Source organism: Homo sapiens, chromosome 10 (assembly GCF_000001405.40).
Source record: "Homo sapiens chromosome 10, GRCh38.p14 Primary Assembly".
Lineage (NCBI taxonomy): Eukaryota > Metazoa > Chordata > Mammalia > Primates > Hominidae > Homo > Homo sapiens.
Window position 1 is genome coordinate 1833389 of NC_000010.11, and position 24593 is coordinate 1857981.

Sequence of the window (24593 nt, forward strand, 5' to 3'; positions counted from 1 at the left end):
AGCCTGGGCAACAAGAAACTCCGTCTTAAAAAAAAAAAAAAAGCCCGGAAACCCTGTCTTAAAAAAAAAAAAAAACACGTAATTTTCTGCATATTACCATGAACACACAATCTCCCGCGGGGTCTGGGCATTCCCCTGTGATCGTTTATGGGTACAGTACAGCAGAGAAAAGGTGAAAAGAACAAAGGTGAGAGGCAGCTCTCATTTCAGACCAGAACACCTTCTGTTGTACTGGAAGTTTCAGCTTTCAACTCTGACTATTTGGTCTTGAGGAACTCAGAATTGCTGAAAGGGGATTGGGACCTTGGCCTTTTGTTTTGATTCTGAATAAGATGTGGTACAAGGAGAAGGGAAGGAAGACTGATGCTTTTAACACATCCCTGGTAGCTGTGTGGAGATGGTGACCAGAACAATCTAGAACCAGTTGTTAGCTGCACTCGATTATATGAGGCGCGATATGTGTCTTACTTTTTTTACATGTATTGTGTAACTGAGACACCATGCGATGGGTTTTAGTATGTCCAATTTGCTCAGTATCCATGCCTTAAAATGTTTAAGTTCATGTTCTCCATTAGCTCTTTTTCCTAGGTCTTTCCTTTGTAGCGTTTCTGTAAAGTAGACCTACAAACTGTATGGATGAAATTATTGATTGATTGATTGATTGATTGATTGAGACAGAGCTTCGCTTTTGTTGCCCAGGCTAGAGTGCAATGGCGCAATCCCGGCTCACCGCAACCTCTGCCTTCCAGATTCAAGTGGTTCTCCTGTCTCAGCCTCCCAAATAGCTGGGATGACAGGCACGCACCACCGTAACAGGCTAAGTTTGTATTTTTAGTAGAGACGGGGTTTCTCCATGTAGGTCAGGCTGGTCTCGAACTCCCGACCTCAGGTGATCTGCCCACTTCGGCCTCCCAAAGTGCTGGGGTTACAGGCATGAGCCACCAAGCCCGGCCGAAATATATTTTTTTACTTTTCTGTTTATCTTGCATTTTCTGGAAATTCCTTTTATTGTTTATATCACACCCTGGTGTGCTGCCATTCTATCATCTGCAAACTGTTAAGTCTGTTTTGAGCACGGACAATAATTGTTTCCACTGAGCTCTCATTGCAACAGCTGATAAAGAAGTGAGACCCATAGCTACGTGATAATATCTGGATGTCACAAATGCCTGAATCCTGGTTTCCTCTATCCACATTTAAACATGTCTTATACACATCACACTGCTACATCGTCTTTGGTGTCCTGAATAGAAATTAAATGACTTGATTCATGGTGGGTTTTCTCTTGTCTCTCATTTTCCTTGTTGTCAAGTTAATAATTTCGACATTTATCCTAAAATGCAACATGAGGGACCGACCTCATTTCTAGCCTAGGGAAGAAACACCCCTGATAAGTACATGTACATGTCTGTCAGGGTCTGGATTGTCACTGAGCCGAGGGAAGAGGGTGGTGCCTGGTGGGCTTCCCGCTGCCCGGGATGGGGCTGTCCGTGTGTTTGTTTGTTGACTTGAAGCCATATGACTGGAACTGCCTCCTTTTCTTTTCTATTTTTTCTTTTTTTTCTTTCTTTTTTCTTTTTTTAAACAATTCAGTGGGTTTCTGTGTACGCTGACTCTTGTGGCTGCACCAGTGATGGGCTGGAGGAGGCGTTCCGAGGGGCCAGAGCCTACCTTTGTTTACTCTGGGATCTGAAGCAGAAACGCATCCCTGGGGTGAATCCTTACTTCTCCAGAGGGGCTGTTCTTCGTGCACAGGATTCTGGCCAGCGGAGGACATGTGCTTGAAGCTGCTTTGGTCTCCTTCGTGAGGAAGAGGCAACCTGCGCACACCTGGGTGTAACATGCCCCTGCCTGGCTGCCTGGCATGGTGATCGGCCCCTGTTCCAGGGAACCTGCTCGCTTCTCCCCGTCTGTTCCTCTAGGACAGTTCTCCTGAGCCTAGGGCAGTGCCTGGCACACAGTGAGTCTTACTGACCTGCATGTCAAATGAACAAACGCTCAACAGTATTTCCGAGACCACCGTAACTTCAAAAATGCCAGAATCTCCCTTCGGTCTGGGGACCTTGTAATTGCAGAATCACCTTGGAAATGCGCACTGGATCTATTCAGCCCAGTTGGTCGGTCACAGTGTAACTGGAGTCGTTCCCTTGGCTCAGAGGGTGCTCTTGAAGCCATGCACAGCCAGGGCCCCGAGGAGGGAAGATCATTCTGTTTTTGTGTTTTTCTGATTTCTTTTTATAAAACTTTCCCCCAGTAATTACCATTTCAAAGAGAACGGGAGCATATTAACCAGATATATGCTCTACAGCAGGATCTCTGTCTTGAAAAGATGATAATTAAAAATAATAACAGAAGAGAGGTCACACCATCACTTATCTCAACATTTGTCTAGTTATTTCTGAATAATTTATCCAAGCTTGTATGATATTCAGGTATTTTGAAATAATATATAATTTTAAGTTGATTTTAATACCCTATAAGCCTGTTTTTTTCTGTAATTTAAACAGATAACATATTTTTAAAATGAAAACAAGTAACTGAACATAATTCCTTTTGAATGGCTACCTTTGTCATAAAATTCTTAGGTGAATTCCTCTTTTACTGAAATTCTTACTGGGCTGGAAAGCTGGAAAGCTGCCCCTAAGCTTTTGTGTCAGATAAATCCAGTGGCATCTCTTGACTTCTATTTTTCTATATACACATCTTTAAAAAATTAAATAATATTATCTGTAGTGTCTCTTACAGCTGGAAGATCTCATATGCTTTCCCTGCCATTTCTCTGTGTGGCACTATAGTTGCTATTACTAAGATACAAAGCAATTAGAATAGAAGCTGCTGGATATTGAAATATTGGTCAGCAGTTATATTATACTCAGGTGTGGGTTGTAGTTTTGAAAAATAATGTAAGATGCAATTGTACCCTCTAGGAACTCTTTTGATAAATAAGACAAAAATAAACGAAAGAACTAAAAGACAGAGATGGACAGTGTGAAACTGGATGTCAAAGACGTGGTGTGGAGAAGGGGAGTCAGGAGCAAGGGCTGGAGGAGAGTCAGGAGGTCCGAGGCTCCTGGGAGGCAGTGGCAGTGGAGACCCGAGCCTGGGTGAGGCCAGGGATCTGGGGCCTTCTCTAAACGCTGCTTAAATGGCTCAATACTGGACAGAGTGCTGTGGGTGGACGGGGGAGGAGGGCAAGGGAGGAGAACAACTTTGCGTCCCTCAGTCTGGGAGGACTCAGCAGAGCCTCGGTTACAGGTGATGGAAGAGGCTGACGAAGCAGACAGGATGTGGAGGTTACCTGGACCTGCCTGCCCAGGCTCACGGCAGAGGGAGGAGGCCATGCCAACCGAGCCCCAGAACTGGGCACCCATCCCGAGGCCCCACAGGGCAGGCTGGGGTGCGAGAAGCTCAGCTTCCCGCCTGCCGCCCCCTCTCCCACCTGCACCTCTGTCGTGGAACCAGCTGTCTCCTGAGGCTGTGGGACAAGGGCCAGGGACCTGAAGAGAGGAACTGGCCAATGGAGGTGCCCACGTCCATCCAACACCTGAGATGTGCTGGCCACGTGGCAGGGTTCTGTGCCATGAATTTTAGAGACCAGGAAATGAAGGTATAGAAAGATTTGATAACGTACTCTTCCCATCTAACTGACATTTTGTATCCCTTGACCAACATGTCCCCACCGCACAGCCCCAGCCCCTGGTGATAATCATTCCTTTCTCTACTTCTACAGGTTCAACATCTTCAGCCTCCACATACAAGTGAGTCTGTGCAGCATTCATCTTTCTGTCCTTGGCTTACTGCACAGAACACGATGTCCTCCAGGTTCAAGATCTATCGGACAACGTGATGACTTAGTGGGTAACTGTGATGGTTAATATTAAGTGTCAACTTGATTAGATTGAAGGATGCAAAGTATTGATCCTGGATGTGTCTGTGAGGGAGCTGCCAAAGGAGATTAACATTTGAGTCAGTGGACTGGGAGACGCAGACCCACCTTTAATTTGGGTGGGCACCATCTAATCAGCTGCCAGCATGGCTAGAATAAAGCAGGCAGGAGAAGGTGGAATGAACAGACTTGCGAGTCTCCAGCCTGCATCTTTCTCCTGTGCTGGATGCTTCCTGCTGTAGAACTTCAGACTCCAAGTTCTTTGGCTTTTGGACCTTGAATTTACATCAGTGGTTTACCAGGGGCTCTCGGGTCTTTGGCCACAGACTCTCGGCTGCACTGTCGGCTTCCCTAGTGCAGGAAAGGTTTTGGGACTTGGACTGATCCATCACTGGCCTCCTTGCTCCTCAACTTGCAGACAGACTATTGTGGGACTTCACCTAGTGATCCTGTGAGTCAACTCTTCTTAATAAGCTCCCTTCCATATATACATCTATCCTATTAGTTCTGTCCCTCTAGAGAACCCTAATACAATAACAATATAATATATGTTTGAAAATTGCTAAAAGAGTAATTTTAAGTGTTCTCACCATATAAGAATATGAGGTGACATATGTTAATTAGCTCAATTTAGTCATTTCACAAGGCAGACAAATTTCGAAACGTTGTACATGATGGATTGAATATAGACAATTTTTATGTGTCAGTTATAAAAATGAAAAACAAAGAACCTGGGAATTTCTCACCAGGGAAGGGTCTTTTAGAATCAACAAAGACTTTCAGATTCCTTCTCATGTCGCTCAGCATGGAAGATGTTTTTATATCTATATGAACACAAAAGGCCTGCAGTTGTTAATTACTTGTCGTATTAAAGCCCACAGGCTACACTGTAGAACTACAACTTAGAAATTAAAACAAAGATTTACAATTTTTTAAAAAAGTAAATAATGCTAATAGGGTTGCAAAACTATTAAACAGAAGGAAATTGTGAGTTTCTGATTGTGTTGATGAGTCCTTGCTTTTCTCACTGTAGGTACAAGAAATGCTCGAATGAGTGGGTTCCAACACACTCTGGTAAATACTGGCCGGCTATTATGTGATGGGTTGGACTATTTATTGTTATATGGTACACAGTAGGATATGGGGGTGGGGACGTTTAATAAAGGGCTTTGGGCTTCAGTATGAACCAAAGTGGATCCTCTAGGAGCTCCTGAAGCCATCATGGGTCTTCAGCGATGCTTCCTCCAGGAGCCAGATGGCTGCAGCCCAGGCTGAAAGGATCCAGGTGCTGCACACAAAGTTCTGATGGAATATTTCAGAGAGAGAAAAACCAATCAACAGGAAAAGGAGGGTTTGTGAAAATGATTTATCGTGTGGTTGACATGCAACATTCTTACAGTGACTTCCGTAAAGGATTTGGAATGGTATTATCAAACTCAATTGCAATGAAAATGATCAATATCAGTGAATTTTTATAGATCAATCCCACTTTTCACAATACTTGGTAAGATTTTGGTTAGTTTTGAAACAATGCCCAGTTCAAAGTCTGATGCACACCGAAGGCTGAGTGGTTCTAAGTATTGTACATTTCAGGCCTGTTTTCCCTTTTTTGAGGTTGGCATCTGAAGTACATAATGAAGAACATGAAGAATATGTTTATTATTCAGAGTACACTGGAAAAATGCCAGGAAAAATACTAGGAATTTCTAGTCCAGTATTCCTTTTCTGCATCCATGTATCAACCACAAGTACAAGATATATTTTAAATATGTATCATGTTCTTTTTGCCGCAGGTCTCATGATTTCCATCCTGAACCTGAGTGCAGAGTGCTGGGTTCCTGCTTGCCAGGGAGGGGAAATTGGAGAAGGCAGATATCAATTAATTTCCCAAAGATTGTAGGAGATGCTGATGGTATCAAGGAATTATCGTGAACACCTAAATTTACACCATCTATACATCTATGTATCTATATATCTGTGTATGTATGTATGTGTGTATGTACCTATGTATCGATCAATCATCCATTTATCTATCTCTATATCTAGATATGTCTACATATGTAGATATATCTATATAGATATCTATAGATACTGATACATTGATACATCTATAGATGCATAGCAGACATAGATATCTATATATCTATATTTAGATATGTAGGCATATCTAGATATATCTATATAGATATCTATAGATATTGATACATTGATACATCTATAGATACATAATGGATATTGATATCCATATATCTATATCTATTTATCTATATATCTATATCTATCTACATCTGGATTTAGATATATAGATACACAGATTTAGATTGGCAGATATACATCACAGTCTATCTGTAAAGTAGGTTTTGGTGCAAGGCTGAACATTAGGGAGCATTAGATCAGAGCACCTAATTGTTATAGGACAGAAAAGACAGAATAAAATAGATGGACTGGAACACTCAGGTGCAAAAGGAGCTGTTTCCCACCCTGCTTTCCCTCAAGCAATTCTGCACAAGCATGTCTTTATATACATCCTTTAAGACATTTAGGTTCTTGAGTTTTGCAGCTAGATCTCATATATGAGGATGCTTTTTGTATATTTCTCTTCAACTGCTTTTTAAAACCAATAATGATCATTTCAAAGACAAGGTTTGCATATAAACCAGATGGATGTGTTCATGTATATGAGGTATAGTACTAAATTTAGGGACTATTTTTAGCTTCTTAAAAATACTCTCATTAAAAATAAGATCATGACATGAGTCAACTCATCAAAAGGACACATTTTTCACTAGGAGTTTTTGCATTCCTGTTCTCTTCACACAAAGAACAGATAATCACAGGCTTATTAGCTGAAGAATGATCAGGGGAAGTTCATGTGTTGGATTACAAAATGTTTTGTGGTTAAAAAAGAGCTCTCGTGTTTCAAAAAGGTCTACAGATGTTCACAAAATTATAAGCTGGCCAACTGGAATCCAGAGTTAAACTGATGAACTGTTTCCTACTGATAATTTTATAAAAGAGATGAACTGATAGAGCAATGACTCCATTTAATATGAATGTTTAAGATGATTAAATGTCAAGGAGCGTCCTGTCGTCAATAAGTGAAGAACTTGGTACTTTAATATGTCTCTTTAATGCAGCTCTACAAAGTGAGGAGATGATGAAGTTGAGGTGACATATAATCACCAAGCATCAGACACATTTTATTTTCTCACATGGAAATCAGAACCCTTAGAAATATTTTCCTCAAGAAGACATGCATTTGTCCTGGAGCATGGAGACCTCTGGACTCTAATCTTAGCTTTTCAACCAGTGACCAAAATAAACCCAGGCAATTGTCCTTAAATATCTGTGACACAGTATTGTCAACAGTAAAATAAAATGTTTAATGAACATTTAAGATTGCTCTTCAACCTATCACGTCTTTCTTCTTTAAGGGCCAGCTACTCTTCCTTCAGGGAAGTGAGTGTTTGCTTTGGCCATCTGGCTTAAAAGGGAGCTACCATCATTTGGGAACCCCTTCACCATAGCCACAGATGGTAGTGTGAGGGTGGGGATTTGATCCAGGTGTGGTCTAATTCATTTTCTGGCCAGACATGGTGGCTCATGCCTGTAACCCCAGCACTTTGGGAGGTGGAGGCACGCAGATCACCTGAGGTTAGGAGTTCAAGAGTAGCCTGGCCAACATGGTGAAACCCTGTTTGTACTAAAAATACAATAACAACAAAAAAATTAGCTAGGCTTGGTGGTGCGTGCCTATAATTCCACCTACTAGGGAGACTGAGGCAGGAGAATTGCTTGAACCTGGGAGGTGGAGGCTGTAGTAAGCAGAGATTGCACCATTGCACTCCAGTCTGGGCAACAAGAGTGAAACTTCATCTCAAAAATAAAAAATGAAAGTAAAATAATAAATTCATTTTCTTAGATTTTCCCAAACTACAGGCGGGAAAAGAAAGATACTTTCTCTTATGGTCATGAGATTTTAACATTAAAAGGAATTTAAGTGTCCATCAAACAGGAAAGGTATCACGTTTTCCACAATGCACACTGTGCGCAGACAGCACGAACAAAGTCCTGCCATGCACTCCCTGGCGTGAACCTCAAAGCCACAACACTGAGCAAGAGAAGCCAGTTCGAGAGGATGCATACTGGGTATGTCCATTTATATAAAGCTGTTTTAAAGGCAACCACAATCCGTGCTGTTAGCCATAGGGTGGCTAGTTTCTGTTAGGGTCAGTGAGCAGAAGCAGCCACAGAAAGGGGCCTGGGGGCACTGGCTATGACCTGGGAGCTGATGATAGAGGTTCACTTTGTAAAGTCAACTTAGTGTGCACTTATGATTTTCACACGTTTGAATTTCTCTACTTTAAATAAGCTTTTCTAAAATAAGTAACTACTATATAGCCATTAAGAATACAGAAAGTCTACAGGTACTGGCATAAAACAATTTGCAAAATATGTGGATAAGTGGAAAGAATCAAGAAGGAGAGTGCTGAGAATGGAACACATCAACAAAAGGATCCCCACACATGCATACATATGTGCATACATATACATATACATGGGCACACACATGCACACACATGTGCACACACATCCACACAAGGACCCCACACATGCACACATGTGTGCACACACAGACATGAAACACATGCAAAGACCCACATACATGCACACATGTGAACACACACGTGCACACACATCCACACAAGGACCCCCACACATGCACACATGTGTGCATGCGCAGACATGAACACATATGCAAAGACCCACATACATGCACACACGTGCACACACATCCATACAAGGACCCCCACACATGCACATACAGACAGGCACACACATGCACACAAAGACCCACATATATGCACACAAGTGTGCACACACATGCTCACAAAGGAGATATACCTAATGTAAATAATGAGTTAATGGGTACAGCACACCAACACGGCACATGTATACATATGTAACAAACCTGCACGTTGTGCACATGTACCCTAGAACTTAAAGTATAATAAAAAAGACCCACATACATGCATACACCTGCAAAGACCCACATACATGCACATACATGTGCTCACATACACATGCATACACATGTGCACACATGGATACACATATGTACACACAGTGTGCACACAGGATACCTCTACAGTGGTACACAATATATTAAAAACTCCAGCTTCAGTGGGTTATGATGCTTATTTCCACTTTTGAAGTGAGTTCCCCTCGTATGTATTCCCTATTACAAAATAATATTTAAGGATAATACAATCCTGCTTTTATAAAAAGTAACAGTGATGCCAAACCAGGTATGAACAGATGAAAGCAATCATGCTAGAAAGACGTAAAGACACACGTTGAGATGTGGTTCCCAGAAACATGCCGGCCGAAGACCAGGAGCTACCCCTAAGGGGTCAAGAGGTCAGTTTTGCGTCCTCCCTCCTGGGCAGCTGACCGCTGCTGCTTGGGGCCTGGGGATGCTTAGTGCCCAGGGGTGTGGGGAGGGTGTTTATTGCCCAGGGGTGTGGGGAGGGCAAGCAAAGGCTTTAAAGTGAATGGCCTGGGTCCAGGTACCGTAATGGTGCTTTCAACCACAACTGAGTGTTTTAACTGTGAATAATGAACCTGAGGAAATTTCGATTACAAAAAATAAAATCTAGAGTGTACATTTTGAAGGGAGCTCAATTTTCAGAGAAATCGGCGGGCTTCAGATCTCTTATATATTTTCATCCAAATAGTTTAAAACTGGAATTTGAAATTCAGGACGATAATCTAAAGGCCACAAAGAAACTTTGAAAAATACATTTAATGGTTTTCATTAGACTCTACAATGTTTTGGTGGGAGCATAGCTTAGCAGTTAAAAAGCCCAACTGTTACAGCAATATATGAGAAACTGTAAGTACCAGAAGTCAAGCCCAAAAACCTTGTTAGTGATAGTATTTGGACTCAAACCCTGCTCTCCTGACTGTAATCTCTGAGTGTTTTCAGCTACATATCCAAGGCAAATTGGTTGCAATGCCATTTACTGGAACCTGTTCATTAGATCTTCAATTAACCATTGACTGGATGTGGGAGCTGGAACAGGTTTTGTCCTTTCTCCTGGGCCCCACCGTCTTCTTATTTGCAGAGTCGGGATAACAATAATGCCTACATCACAGGGTTGTGTTGCAATCTATGTGAATGGAACACACATAAACCCACTTGCACAGTACCTGGCATACCTCCTTTTATCTGTTGTTATGGAAAATAGCAGTAGTCAATGAGAAACTTGCATTAATGCCTGACACCTGAGTAAATAGCTGGGATACGAGCACACATATATGTGATTTCATAATTAAGTCAATTTAGCCTTGAGTGTATTATACCATTTAGACTGATACCATCTGGAGACTTTTCATCAGTCCATTTATACAAATTCCCACTGAATTCCTCTAAATATAAAATGCTTTCATCCCAGAAAAACTTGAAACTCACGAAGCACTAAAGGGAAGGTAATAGGACTCCATGGCCAAAAATGTCCGAGGTGGTTTATAAATCAAGAGAAACAATAAAATGGAACATCCATGAAGGCTTGAAGGAACAAATCATTGTTATAAATTCTCATAAGGGTATTTTAGGTTCTGTGGCAATGCCTCAAACAAGTTGAAATTTATTGGATTTGTTTTATGGGTTGAACAATCTCTCATTGTCACCTCAACTCTTTTTGATTTAGGTTAATGAAGATAAAAAGGTTGGAAATATCTGAGATTGAAAGACCCTGTTGGATGTATAACCAGGGAGTCGCAAGTTATTTAGCTTACTGTGCACCAACATAATTTAAAATATAGGAATGTTCGAGCACTTCTGTCTGATTTGAAAAGCTTGAAATGAATATCACAATAGTAACTTTTGTGTACAAGTGATTGTAAACATCATCTGGCAGATTCTTCTCGAATTAATTTACTATATAAAGCATGAAGAAAACTCCCAGGAACATGAATTTACTAATAACCCTCTGATATATTCAATATATTGTCAAGAATTTGGAGGTATCTACACAGATGTACCATGAAATTCTCTTTGCTTAAAATTAATCAGAAATTAAAATAACATCTTTCCTTATTTATATATGAAACCACTTTTATTTGGTTCAGAATACAGGTACCAGAGACAAGAAAGCAGGCAAATCGGGAAGACAGAATCTAAAAAAATTTCAGTATGTACCATGCCAAATTTTGATAAAATTATCTACCACAGTACTGAAGTGTCTTACCCATCCTTCATATTCCAGTGAGAAATCAAGAGGAAAATGCTTGATAAACAAAGTGGCATCCACGTGATGTAATAAACGGAAATAGGCATTAACATCATTGCTGTGAGCACATTTTGCTGTAGGTTACCTGTACTCCACCGGTTTGTTTCTGAATAACCAACTTAAAACAGTTGAAGAGTTAGGACTTGATCAAGGTAGGATGTGATTGTCGCCTTTTAACTGTAAAACAAGATTTCACGCATTTCAAATCCAATTAGTTCATTTGGTAAAATTGACCTTCTCAATAACCTTTTTTCAAATACAGGATGCTGGTCTCTGTTTGTCATTAGCAGAAACAGCTATGTCAAATGCTACTTTTAAACCTATGTTCTGATTCAAATTTAGTAGATCTAATAAAAAAATACCTTAGGCTTTGCAGCTGCATCCATTTGTACATGCAAATTCAGTAATTGCTTATATAAATTGGGTAAACTGTACGTGAAAACAAGCTGTTAAATGTTCAATTAATCAGTTTGCAAAAAAATCTCTCGATGTTCTTGCTACCAGCAAACTCTTCCCCAGATCATTCATATGAGCTGAAAACAATCTAATATTTCATCTGCACATGCACCAACGTTCCTTTATTTCCTGTGACTTGCCTCTGGTTCCCTCATTCACTCAGCACCATTCTCTATACACATCCTGAGTGTCAGCGCAGAGACTGTGGTATACAAGGCAGGTGCAAGTCCCATCCAACTCAACAACAGTGATGTGAATAAAATTACTTATCCTCTAGTTTTGGTTCTATGATCTTTTTTCCATGTGGCTCGAAAGGTACACAGAATGATATTATGAATATAATGCAATATTGAGATCCAGTTCTGACTCACCACAATTAGAATTTGTAGAAAATAACTTCTGTGTTTTGATGAATTCCTCCTGTGTGCAATTATGGGGTTCAGCAGGGTCTCACTCACGTCACCCTGTGTTCTGTGAGTCCACACTGTGCCTGTGTTTATCCTCTTTCTCATTCGCCTTGTGGTGGTCTCGAGTGGGGCTCCTCAGAGCCTGTGACTCCTTGGGGAAATGTGTTAAACTGTGGATTTCAACATGGGGGTCTGCGCTGGAGGTGGAGAATCAGAACATCTGACAAGCTCTAGGCAAGGCTGATGCTCTGGGTCACCGAGCTGCGTGGTTGGTGGCCAAGGTGGAGCAGAGGCTGCACTCTGTGTTTGCTCCACTGGCTTCTACTTCTAGATTGGTTTCCCCAAATCAGAGTCTCGTTAGAGCAAGAGAAAGGTGTTTTTAACGAAGGTAATCATGCAGGAATGGGCAATAGCCTTATGCATATAAATCGAGGAGCGCAGGAATTAACAAACCATCCTCCGTACGTCCCAGGTTTTCCTAACTTATTTTCTGGATGACAAGCATGAGAATGCAACCCATAGTCTTCATGACAGGAAACAGGAGTAGCTGTTCACGGGGAAGGAGATGGTCCCTGGTACCTCTCAGCATCCTCACCACCACCCTTTCCATGACCCGTGTCTGCTGCATACGATAACTCATCTTAGGGTGGTTAAGTAATTTTCCCAATTTCACACTCCCTGTAAGTGGTGGAGCTGCAATTCTCAGCCAATTGTGTGATGCCAGAACTTACGCTAGGCAAAATCTCTCTGGCTGTCACTCAGCGATCACGGCTGTTTGCATCTTGATACAATTGCTGGGGTAGGCGGTAGAGGGCACATTATGCAGGGAAGTGGAAGAACATTGATTTTACCAGCCCATATGATTTAAATCATCAAAATGTGACACCACTCATGTTTCTTGAAATGATGACCTATTCAAGAACTTGGATTTCTATGTTTCTCAGATTTAACGAAGATATAGTTCGGTGGCATTCCATGGAAGTTCCTATTAATATGTATGAGCAACAGAAAAAAAAGCCACTTCTCAAGATGTGCATTTGGATATGCAGTTTAAAAAATCCTTTCTAAAGTGAAAAGACAACCTGATCATAGCATTTAGGCCAAGAAGTTCTAAAGAATTATTTTGTTATCTAGTTCTTTTAAGAATTGAAGAAACTTTCTTTTTTTAAAAAGTCAAATACATGAGTATAAAAATAAAATGTTCTTCTCATTTTGGGGTATTTTCTTCCTCTCCTTTGCGCATAACCTTCCGTAAACATGAAAACTTTGTCTCTGGCTTTCTTTTGGAAAGACAGGAGGATTCAATCCTGTTTCTCGCCGGGTGTGACGTGATGCCGCGACCTGAGACCCCAGGTAAAGGCGAAAGCTGCAATTCTGAGAGCATGGTTTGAGAAGAAGCATATTCCCCTTTATTCTGACTTTTTGGACAATATATGAAGACGTTTGTGTAGTTTTGAACCTCACGCATTAATAACGGCATAGGGGAAGTGGAGTTTTTAAAAAAACAGTGGCGAGGATGATAGGACGTCCTTGGAGTAACTGTTGAAATTCTAGCCCGGGGAGGCGGAGAGTCAGAGGCACAACACGTTTTCCAGGAATATGAAGGGGAATATGAAGGGTGGACCTCTGGATTCAGCTAAATCCAATGTGTGAAATTTAAAGGAGGCAGCTTTGGGCTCAGTAAGAAGAAGCTGCTGATCTGCAGTACTTTGGTTTTTTGAGTTGTGGGTGCAGGGGACAGGCAGAGGCCGGGCATCCGCAGAGTCCAGTGCTGTGGGAAGGATTTAAGCATCGGAAGAGGGAGGCAGAGGGGTCATCCATGAGGCCCTCTCATTGGAGGCGCTGTCCAGGTGGGGGCCCTGTCCTTTGAGGCCACCCACCTGCAGGCAGGCACTGGTAAGAGTCAGGTTGGGTTAGACAGGGAACCGTGGGCAAACCCATGAGCCACCTGGGCTTTATTCTCCTTCTTCTCAAGTATTAATATCTCTCTCCCTCACGTGTCCGCGCCCTTCCCATTTCTCTCTGGCTCAATGGCCAAGTTCCTGCTTCCCCACCCTGCGCCGACACATCGCCATGCACCTGCACAGAGGCCCCTGCAGGCCCGAGGGACCGTGCGGAGGTGGGCCCCAGCGGTGAAGGAAGGGGCTCCGCCAGGGTGGGAGTGGCCTATTAACTTCCCAGGTGACAAGCCAGGGGGATAGTTTACATTATGGTCCTTTCTTAGAAACCCTCGAGCCATGCCTGCAACGGGACTCACTTCCCTGTCCAAATCGATTGCTGTGCCCGAGCGTAAGCACCGGGAAAACGGCAGCACTGAGGCCTCAGCAGGCTGGGCTGCGTGGACGGGCAGTGTGCAGCAGAGCCTGGGGCGGGGGTGAAGGAGCATCCAGCCCCACCCTGTCCATAACGGGAGATTGGCGTGCTTCCCTTCGCAGGGGTGGAGAGAGCTGCACCCCTTAATCCCTGGAATGGGACGACATAAGAGTCAAGAAGAACGTCAATATCGTTAAAGGAAAAGGAAATATAAATTTCGAATTCATCTTCTGACGGAAATGAAGGCAGTTTTCTAAGTTTCACAGGGAGCATAAATCTAAGGACATTTCCTAATTAATATTCAAGTCGACTAAATAACAATCGAATCGGGTGCCCTCATCCCACGGGCATATTCAGGATTCAGATTTCTTTGACCCTCTGCTGATTAATTCCTACCTCTTTTCAGGTCTAGCACCGCCAATCTGACTTTTAACTTCTCTAATCAATTTCTCAAATAACTATAGGGCAGAAACCATTTTTCTTTGTTGATACATGACCTGGTTTGGGCACAAGAAGCTAAAACACTTGTTAAGAGGAGCCAAGCAGAGGCGTATTTCATCTAAATGTGAACTTTGATATAGCCCTCACTTGAGTCACACTTGTCAGTTTTATATTCATGTCAGAAAGGGCTTGAAAATCACATTAAATTTACGTGTTTGCATATATATTTGTATTATATGTCACGTACTTATGCATGTGAAGACTGTATTAAAATTAAGAACTATTTTTTAAAAGCTTAGATAAGTTATGTGTAAATGTGTAAGGATGTGTGTGTGTATGTGGTGTTTATGTAAAAAAAAGAGGAGAGAAAGAAAAAAGAGATGAAGTGAAATATAGGCCTAGTACCAAGTAGATGATCAAAGATTCTAATTGATATTTAGACAACAGAGAGAACAGAGGAGGATTTGTGGTGGAAGGGATATGTTCCCAATGTAGAATGAAACATTTGGAGAAAAATCCAGTTATTTATTTATTCATGGACTTATTTTCTGATTCAGTAAGTATTTACTCTCTAGTGCCTTAACACGCTGTCATGTGCCTGATGCTGCATGTGGACATGGGAAATAGAATAGCACAGATCTGTCTCCTGTCTTCTTGGAGCATAGATTATATTAGAAGGTGCATTCATCAAGTCATCATTCAGAAAAAAGTATATAAGATAGCAACTGTGACAACAGCCTTGAGAGGGGTCCCATGGAGCGCTTAAGGGCTGTGATGGAGCACTGAAATAACCGTGCATGTCAGGGAGGGTGACGGGGATAATTGACTTGTCTAATGACAATCACAGATATGTTCTGATAAATTAAATTAAATGTGCACATGCAGATCTTAGAAAAAATTAAAAATTTCAGGCCAGGCACAGTGGCTCACACCTGTAATTCCAGCACTTTGGGAGGCTAAGACAGGAGGATCGCTTGAGCCCAGGAGTTTGAGACCACTCTGGGCAACACTCTGAGACCCCATCTCTACAGACTAGACTAGACTAGACTAAAATTGGCTGGGTGTGGTGCACACCTGTGATCTCAGCTACTCAGGAGGCAGTGGCAAGAGGATGACTTGAGCCCAGGAGGTCGGGACTGCAGTGAGCTGTGATCATGCCACTGCACTCCAGCCTGGGTGACAGAGCAAGACCTTGTCTCAGAAAAATAAAATAAAATAAATAAATAAATAGGTTAAACATTTTAAAGCACAGCTGATAAGCCAATAGTAAAATAAAATGGAATAATAATAATACTCAACAGAAGGCAATACATAGAAAGAGGATAAAATGAATAAAGAACAGATGGAGAAATGGAAAACAACTAATGAACTACTGCATTTAACACAACCACGTTAATAATTATATTAAATGTAAATGATATTAACAGAGATTCTCACTTTAGATAAAAAGCAAGATGTGAAAGGATGTCTATTTAAACCCTCTTTAAGTATAAAGACATAAAATTATAAGACAAAATTCAAAGCATGTTAAGCAAACACTATCCCAAAGTAAGCTTAAGTAGCTAATTAATATCAAATTAGACTGCCTAAGGAGAAGTATTACCAGGTATAAAGAGACACATATAATATTGAAGAAGTTAATTTGTGTAGAAAAAAATGTTATTCTTAAATGTCTATGCAACTAATAACAAAGATTCAAGGTAAATCTGACAGAACTGAAAAAGGAAATAGATAAATCCAAAATTGTTGGATTCATCTACTTGTTTTTGGAGTGTTTAACACCCCTCTCTTATCAATTGATGGAATTATTAGACACAGTGAAATGAGAGTCCGGAAGCCCTGAAGAGCCCTGCCATCCCAACTTGAGCTTATTGACATTTGCTGATTACTGCACCCAACTGCAGAGGGGTACGGATAATGTTCTAGTGCCCATACAGTAGTGATCAAGACTGTACTCCTGGCCATAAAACACATATTAACAGGTATAAAGTCACTGAAATAATACTAAGTGTGTTCTCTGAACACACCAGAATTAAATTAAAATTAAAATTGAGGAACACAAAGGTATCTTGACAATGTCCAGCTATTTGAAAATTAAACAACAGTATTTTACATACAATGGTCAAAGAAGAAATATCAGAAAATTTATACTTTATTATAATTGAGTAAAAATGTAGTAGAATTCATAAAATTGGGTAAGATGCAGCTAAAGCAGTACCTAGAGGAGAATTTATAGGCTTAAAATGTTTATATTAGAAAAGAAAAGAAAGTTTCAATTCCATGATATAAGTTCCAGGATTATGAAACTAAAAAAAGAAAAGCTAATTAAATGCAAAGAAGGTGGAAAGGAAAATGATAAAGACAAAAAAAATAGAAAACAGAAAAATGTAGAGAAAATCAGTGACACCAAAACTAATCCTTTGAAGAGATGAATAAGATTTCTAAAACTCTAACTAGTGTGATTATGGAAAAAAAAATGAAATACACAAATTTCCAATATTAGGAATGAAATTAACAATTTATTACAAACTCTAGTGGTAACAAAAGCATAAGAGATATTAAAATAAAGGTAAGGCAATATATTTGAGGGATTAAAAAGAAAGTTTCCAATCTCAACCAAGAAGTAGATCAACAAAATCATAATTAATTCACTACAGAAATAAAATTACAAGCCTGTATATTTTCCCTGATAAAATTTACAAAATAATTTATGAAAAAAATACTCATAATTCAGCACAATGTCTTCCAAAAAATAAAAGAGGACAGATCACATTCTCAACTTATTTGATGAGACTAGAACTACTGTGAAAGCAAAACCATACAAAGACATTACAAGAAAAACATACTACAGAACAATACTCCACATGCACAGGGACAAATAAAATCGCTAACACAATTTTGAGAAGTGAAATCCAGCAAAATGAGAAAATGTAGGATGACTCATTGAAATTCATCCCAGGAATGTAAGGCTGTTTTGACATTTGAAAACAAGTAAGTGTAGTTCTCAATATCAATATGTTAAACAAGGGCCCGGGAGTGGCGGCTCACATCTGCAATACCAGCTCTTCGGGAGGCCAAAACAGGTGGATCACTTGGGGTTAGCAGTTCAAGACCAGCCTGGGCAACATGGTAAAACCCCCATCTCTACTAGAAATTCAAAAATTAGCCGGACATCATGGTGGGTGCTTGTAATCCTAGCACTTTAGGAAATTAAAATTAGCAAAATACATTAACAATCACATAAAAACTTTGGAATTGTTAGGGATAAAACTAAAATATATGTGTAAAAATTCTTTGCTGAAAACTACTACCAGCTGGGTGTGGTGGCTCACGCCTGTGATCCTAGCACTTTGGGAGGCTGAGGCGGGTGGGTCATTTGAGGTCAGGCGTTTGAGACCAGCCTGGCCAACATGGCGAAATCCCGTCTCTACTAAAAATTAGCTGAGTGTGGTGGTGGGTTCCTGTAATCCCAGCTACTCGGGAGGCTAAGGCAGGAGAATTGCTTGAACCCGGGGTGGGGCAGAGGTTGCAGTGAGCTGAGATTGTGCCATTGCATTCCAGCCTGGGTGAATTTTACCATTTGCCAATTACTCATCTAACAAGGTGATTAGAGAGAAAATAAAAATTCTCACCTTACTGTGGTAAATGGATTGCAAAACAAGTAAGAATCCCTGCAGTGGGAACCAGTGAGGTCGCCTGGTACCACGACTGTCTAGAATCACTTTGCCGTCTAGTTTGATGAAATGAGTTGAGACACGCAATACCGTTGCGACACTCTCTGGCACTCAATAAATATCAGTTATTGTCATATGCACTTAGTGACAACCCTCAAATATTTTACCAATGTCACATTTTAGTAAGATGAGCTGTACAATATTATCTCCGCTTAGGCAAGATCGTTGTTCTGTCTCCTCCCACACCTGAACTAATCATCCTATTAAGAGCAGCTGAACATGGGGCTGCAGGTTCTGCTCCCTGCTAATAACAGCAGTGCTCACCCTGGGAGGCCGTAAGACCTCTCTTCTCTAATTTTATAGATAAAAAGTTTTCCTGGGCTGATGCTGGCACTGTCTGCAGGGGCAAAGGAATAGATGGGCTGACCTCCTCCTGCTCCCTGGGATTTTAGATACCTTCGGAATTGGATTTAAAACAATGACTTGACCAGGCACGGTGGCTGACATCTGTAATCCCAGCACTTTGGGAGGCTGAGGCGGGTGGATCAGCAGGTCAAGAGATTGAGACCATTCTGGCCAACATGGTGAAACCTCCTCTCTACTAAAAATACAAAAATTAGGCAGGTGTGGTGGCAGTTGCCTGTAGTCCCAGCTACTCGGGAGGCTGAGGAAGAAAAATCGCTTGAACCTGGGAGGCAGAGATTGCAGTGAGCCGAGATCGCGCCACTGCACTCCAGCCTGGGTGACAGAGTGAGACTCTGTCTACAAAAAAATAAAAATAAAAATAAAAAATAAATAAATAAATAAGAGGCTTTACTCATACATTCCAGTAAGAGTAACTCGACTTTCACTCTTGTCTCAATTTTATTCACATTTATTCACATTCCTTTGGCATAAAATATTCTCCACGAGCTATTGTCTTTTACCAAAGTTTGTGATTTATTCATTTTCAACTGTCTTGGACTCTTTGATTTTTCACTCTTATCTTAAACAACAAGTTAGCATGCACTGTACGGGGGGCTTTCTCTTGATACCTAACTGAATGCTGTACTGGATCCTGTGCCCAGGAGATCACTTGAGAGCCTGCTTGCATTTAGTATGTTTAATGGAAATTTAATGTTCTCACAATTGTTTTCGCCCTCCCAGTAGCACTGAATTATTTATGAATAACCTCAAATCTCTCTAAGTAAAACACGGTGCTTTTAATGAGCCAGCGATCACAGTTCAGTCAGGGAGATGGTGGCTAAGGATGCCAGGCCTGACACTTGAGTGCTGCGTTTTCCTTGTGTACCAATTATGGTTACTGTAACTTGGGCAGCATCAGAGAAGGGCTGCCCCCTACCACCTCACCTCGCAAAAATGTGTTTCTTATATTAAAACTCTCACGCACGCACACACACACACACACACACACTCTCTCTCCTTTGTAAAGGTATCTCTCCATTCGTACTTTGTCTGATGGTGAAGCCACAGGGGCCGTGAGCCCTGTGAGTGCCGTCCCCACCCCAGGGTGACATCAGCAGAGTGCGTGTGTGAGGCCCAGAGGTACACCACTCCTTCAGTCTGCCAGTGTGCCTCCTGCCTGCCTTGGAGGTAGCCTTACTCCCTGGGACGCGTCCAAGAAACTGAAAGCAATAGGCAGATTTGGATTTCAGCTCCTCACCTGACGGATGACCCCAGCCTGCTCTGCTATGAGATGGAGCACACCAGTGATTACTGTAAAAGGCTGTTGTGAAGGTTCCAGGAAGTATTCCTGAAGTTCCTGGCCACTGGCTCACATGTACAAGATACTGAGTAAGTAATGGCTGTTTCTGGCATTATTGTATTGGACCCTTTGGAATAACATTTGTGTAAATGCCCTTTATTTTGTCCCAAACAATGGAACGATAAGAAAAAGGGCAATGAAGTTTTTGAGGGGAGAATTCTACTGGACAATTCCTCATTTTTCTTTGTTTGGGTAGGGGTGGCATCAAAAGGGTCATGTAGATTTTGCTCAGGTATTCAAGTTTATGTATTAGTTCCATAATCTGATGAATGTTTACTGGGCACGTCTCAGGTGTGCTGTGACCATGACGTCCCTCTCCGTGGCCCTCTCATGTGCTATGGACTAGACGGGACATGAGTACGGGGAACTCCAGCCATGATGACTGCGGTACTCAGAACCGTTCTCTGTTCTTGTATCAAGTGCTGGTTGGTTTCTTCTATGAAGGAGATTGTGTTATAAGCTAGGAAGATATCGGAGACGGTGAGTCTCTGTATTGAAAGAGACATTACAGGATTTCAAGAATGGGGCCGAACCTTGACCAAGAGATGTTTCCGAAAGCGAGTTAGAATAAAAAGTCATGAGGAAATTGTCTTAGGTTTTTGTTTTAAAAATGTTTCTGTGCTCCTTTTTAACGTCAGCAACTTTGAAAAATAAAACAAAATAAATGCTCAGCCTACCCTTGCTATTCTTTGTGGGAGACTGGAGTGACTTCTCCTTTCTTCCTTCTTCTCATTTGGACAGAGCCGCTCAGAGCTGAGGAGGCAACAACACAGAACCCACGTTCCAGGTGCTATGTTCTGGGAGTACAGGCATGAGTCCCCGCACTCACCCCTTCTTCTATTAATATCCCCCGGTGGCGGGCTCTGATGGCATCAGCTTGTGTGTGGAAGCTTCCTGCTGTAATGTAATCAGCAAATGGAAGCCGTGTCCCTTTAAACCCTTGCCGTCACTTCTGCATGTGGCAAAATCAGGGTGGAAACCTGGCCCATTCCATTCCTTGTGCTGAGAGTGAAAATGACCCTGCATGTCAATCAGAAACCATGTAACAAACCTGCACTTTCTGCACATGTATCCCAGAACTTAAAGTAAAATTTAAAAAAAGAAAAAAGGAAAGAAATCTCGCCTAGGTAGCATGATCACGCGTCCTCTCTTCTGCTTGATGAATTTTTATATACTTTTGTGTGTGGAATATCTGAACATGCCCACAGCTAGCATGCTGCAGATTTTCAGCCCTCAGTCAAGGAAAAAAAAACAGATGAATAATTTGAAGGGGCCCAGCACAGTGGCTCATGCCTATAATCCTAGCACTTTGGGAGGCTGAGGTGGGCAGATTGCCTGAGCTGAGGAAATCGAGACCAGCCAGGGCAAAATGGTGAAACCCCATCTCTACTAAATACAAAAAATCAGCCGGGCATGGTGACATGTGCCTGTAGTCCCAACTACTTTGGAGGCTGAGGCAGTAGAATTGCTTGAACTCAGGAGGTGGAGGTTGCAGGAACTCAGGAGCCAAGATTGCGCCACTGCACTCCAGCCTGGGTGACAGAGCGAGACTCTGTCTCCCAAAATAGATAGATAAATAAATAAATAATTTGAAGGAAGCCTTTCCTGTCAGAGTTCATCTTCTTGGAAAACAAGGAAATTCACATTATTTTCATCAGTTGCATTTTCTATGTGAGTATAATCTACATGAGTGACATAGATGCCATTCCTAATTTCAAAGAAGATACCACAGGCACATTGAAAACGTCGCAGACATAAAGTCAATTTAAGCCAGGGGATGCATCCAAAAATTTACTATAAACCTTTCCTGTACCCTGAAATGTAGGCATTGTGTGGAGCTTTAGGGCAGGTGGCAGCAGATTTAAAAGTTTGCAGTTGTGCTGGAGGAACAACCATCTAAACAGCGTAGTCAGAAACGTAAATAAATACCCCGAGAAAAGGATGTGCTAATGGGGATATGTTTATCAAATATAATGGAAATAAGCAATTGACTTTTTCTTTGGTAAAATTTGGATCAGTTTATCACATAGGTAATATTTGAATTGGATCCCGAAGAGTTAGCAGGAATTTGACGAGTGAAGACGAGTTGGTCTGTGAAGAGGAGGCAGCCTGTGGCAGGTGAATGCCATTCACGTCCACCAGGGCCTGACAGCACCAGGGGGAGTGGGTGCCAGTGTGCCCCTGTCCTGAGAGCTGAGCTTCAGGGCCAACAGGGCAAGTGGCTCAGGACCCACTCAAGGTGCCTGTGGTGGGAGGACAGCCCAGCCCTCCAAGGTGAACTGAAAAAACACATGCCAGTGAGTTTTAAAGCTGAAGGCTGGAAAGCTCTTCTCCATTGCACGGCTCTGATATACCGGCTTGGCTTTCACAGGAAAATCAGCTGTGCGTGGGGTGTCCTCTGAGATTCTCCTAATTGCTTTGCAGGTCTAAACATACCGCACAATGCTGTCAGGGATTGCTATGGATAGCCAACTCCATTCTGCTAAACAAAACCAGTAATTTGGAAAAATTACAGCCCTGGATGCCATCGTTGGCACCACAAGGACGACCTCCCTGCTAACTGTTAAAAAAAGAAAAAAAAAAAATTGGCGGCACACCAGGCCAAGGAAGGCCTCTGTGTAAGTGTGGAATACGACAATCCTTTAGGAAAAAAAGCAAAATAGAAAACTGAATGAATTTTTGATGATTTAACCTAGGACAGTGGGGTCTTAGAGGGCTGTGGCTGTTTCATTTGGAATAGTTATTTTGTAACAAAAAGGGCATATCCTGCTTCCCAGCCTTAACCATATGCAAGCACTGTTTAGCAACTTGCTCCTAATGACACCTTCCTCTGAAAAGCTAGTTCGCCATGAAACAGATATTTATGAGGCCTGTGGTTCATCTTCCTAGAGATTCCCATAAACACAGGTGTGTGGACACATCTGAGCTCTACAAGCCGAACGCCCGTACCCAGCGCCACTTTGTTTTTCTATTCAACCTCCTCCCCAGAATTCTGCAGTCTCAGAGAGGAGGCATCTTCACTCAAAAGTTCTTCTACTTGCCCCATTCTTAATATTCTGTATTGAAGGAAAGGATTATTCTGGCTCAAGGCTTTTCTCCCTCAGACAAAATGATGTGGCGTAAGATTCATTACCAGGTGAGTGAACTTCCTAGGGGCACAGACAGGACAGCTGTCCCCATCAGAGGCAGAGAAGAGTGAGGAGGACTTTTATTTTCCTTTCAGAGTCAGCAAGCTTTAACATAAGCTGCCTCCTGTCGTCCTCTTATTCTCTAAAAGGGCATAGCTGTGGCTGTGCAGTCTCTTCATATTAACTCAGTCTCTGGGGCCGCTGCATAGGCAAACATGCTTGTGTGTATCTGCCGAGCAGGATTTTAGTAAAAAGCACAAGCCAGGAAAACGCCAGACTGAGTCTTCGTCATGGGTGCAGGTCAAGTCTGCTCCATGGCCACATAGACCAGGCCTGGTTTCCCATTTCCGTGATTGTCTTTCGAATATGTCACATCAAGAGTCATGTTCCACCTGACATTTCTAAATTTTTTTTTTTCATGTTGTTCATCTCATGTGGTCTTACATTCAGAGATTGAGCTGTTGTATCATATTCTGGAAGCATTCCAGGTCACTATCGCTCCTCTTTTCAAAAGGTTGTGGGAAAACAAAATATAATTTCAGGCTAAATACTCGTGAGGATCTAACCTTTCTATACCATAATGCCTGTGAGCCCACACTCAGGCTGTGGCTTGTTTTCCCACCATTTCCAAAGGTGCTTTCTCATTTTGAAATCTTAATGCTTAGGTAAGAAAGACAGCAGTTTTGGAGGAGAAAAGAGGTGGACCCTGAAACTCAACAGCATATTTTGTTGGGGGATTGTCCACTCATTGCCATGAATTCAGAACTTGCTGTTTTGAATTCCTCATTATGTCTGCTTAGTCATAAAATAGAGGCTTTCCTCCTTCCTGTCCATTTGCTGATTATATTACAATGGGAAGCTTCCACACACAAGCTGATGCTGTAAGAACCCCCCCATCACCAGGAGATATGAATAGGAAAGGGGTTGGGTGCAGTGGCTCATGCCTGTAATCCCAGAATTTTGGGAGGCCAAGGTGGCAGGATTGCTTGAGGTCTGGAGTTCAAGAGCAGCCTGGGCAACATAGCAAGACCTGTCTCTACAAAAAATAAAAATGAAAATTAGCCAGATGTGGTGGCACACATCTGTAGTCTCAGCTATTAGGGAGGTTAAGGTGGGAGGATGGCTTGAGCCCAGGAGTTAGAGGCTGCAGTGAGCTGTGATCCCACCACTGCACTCCAGCCTGGGGGAGAGAATGAGACCCTGTCTGAAAACAGAAAAGAAAAGAAAT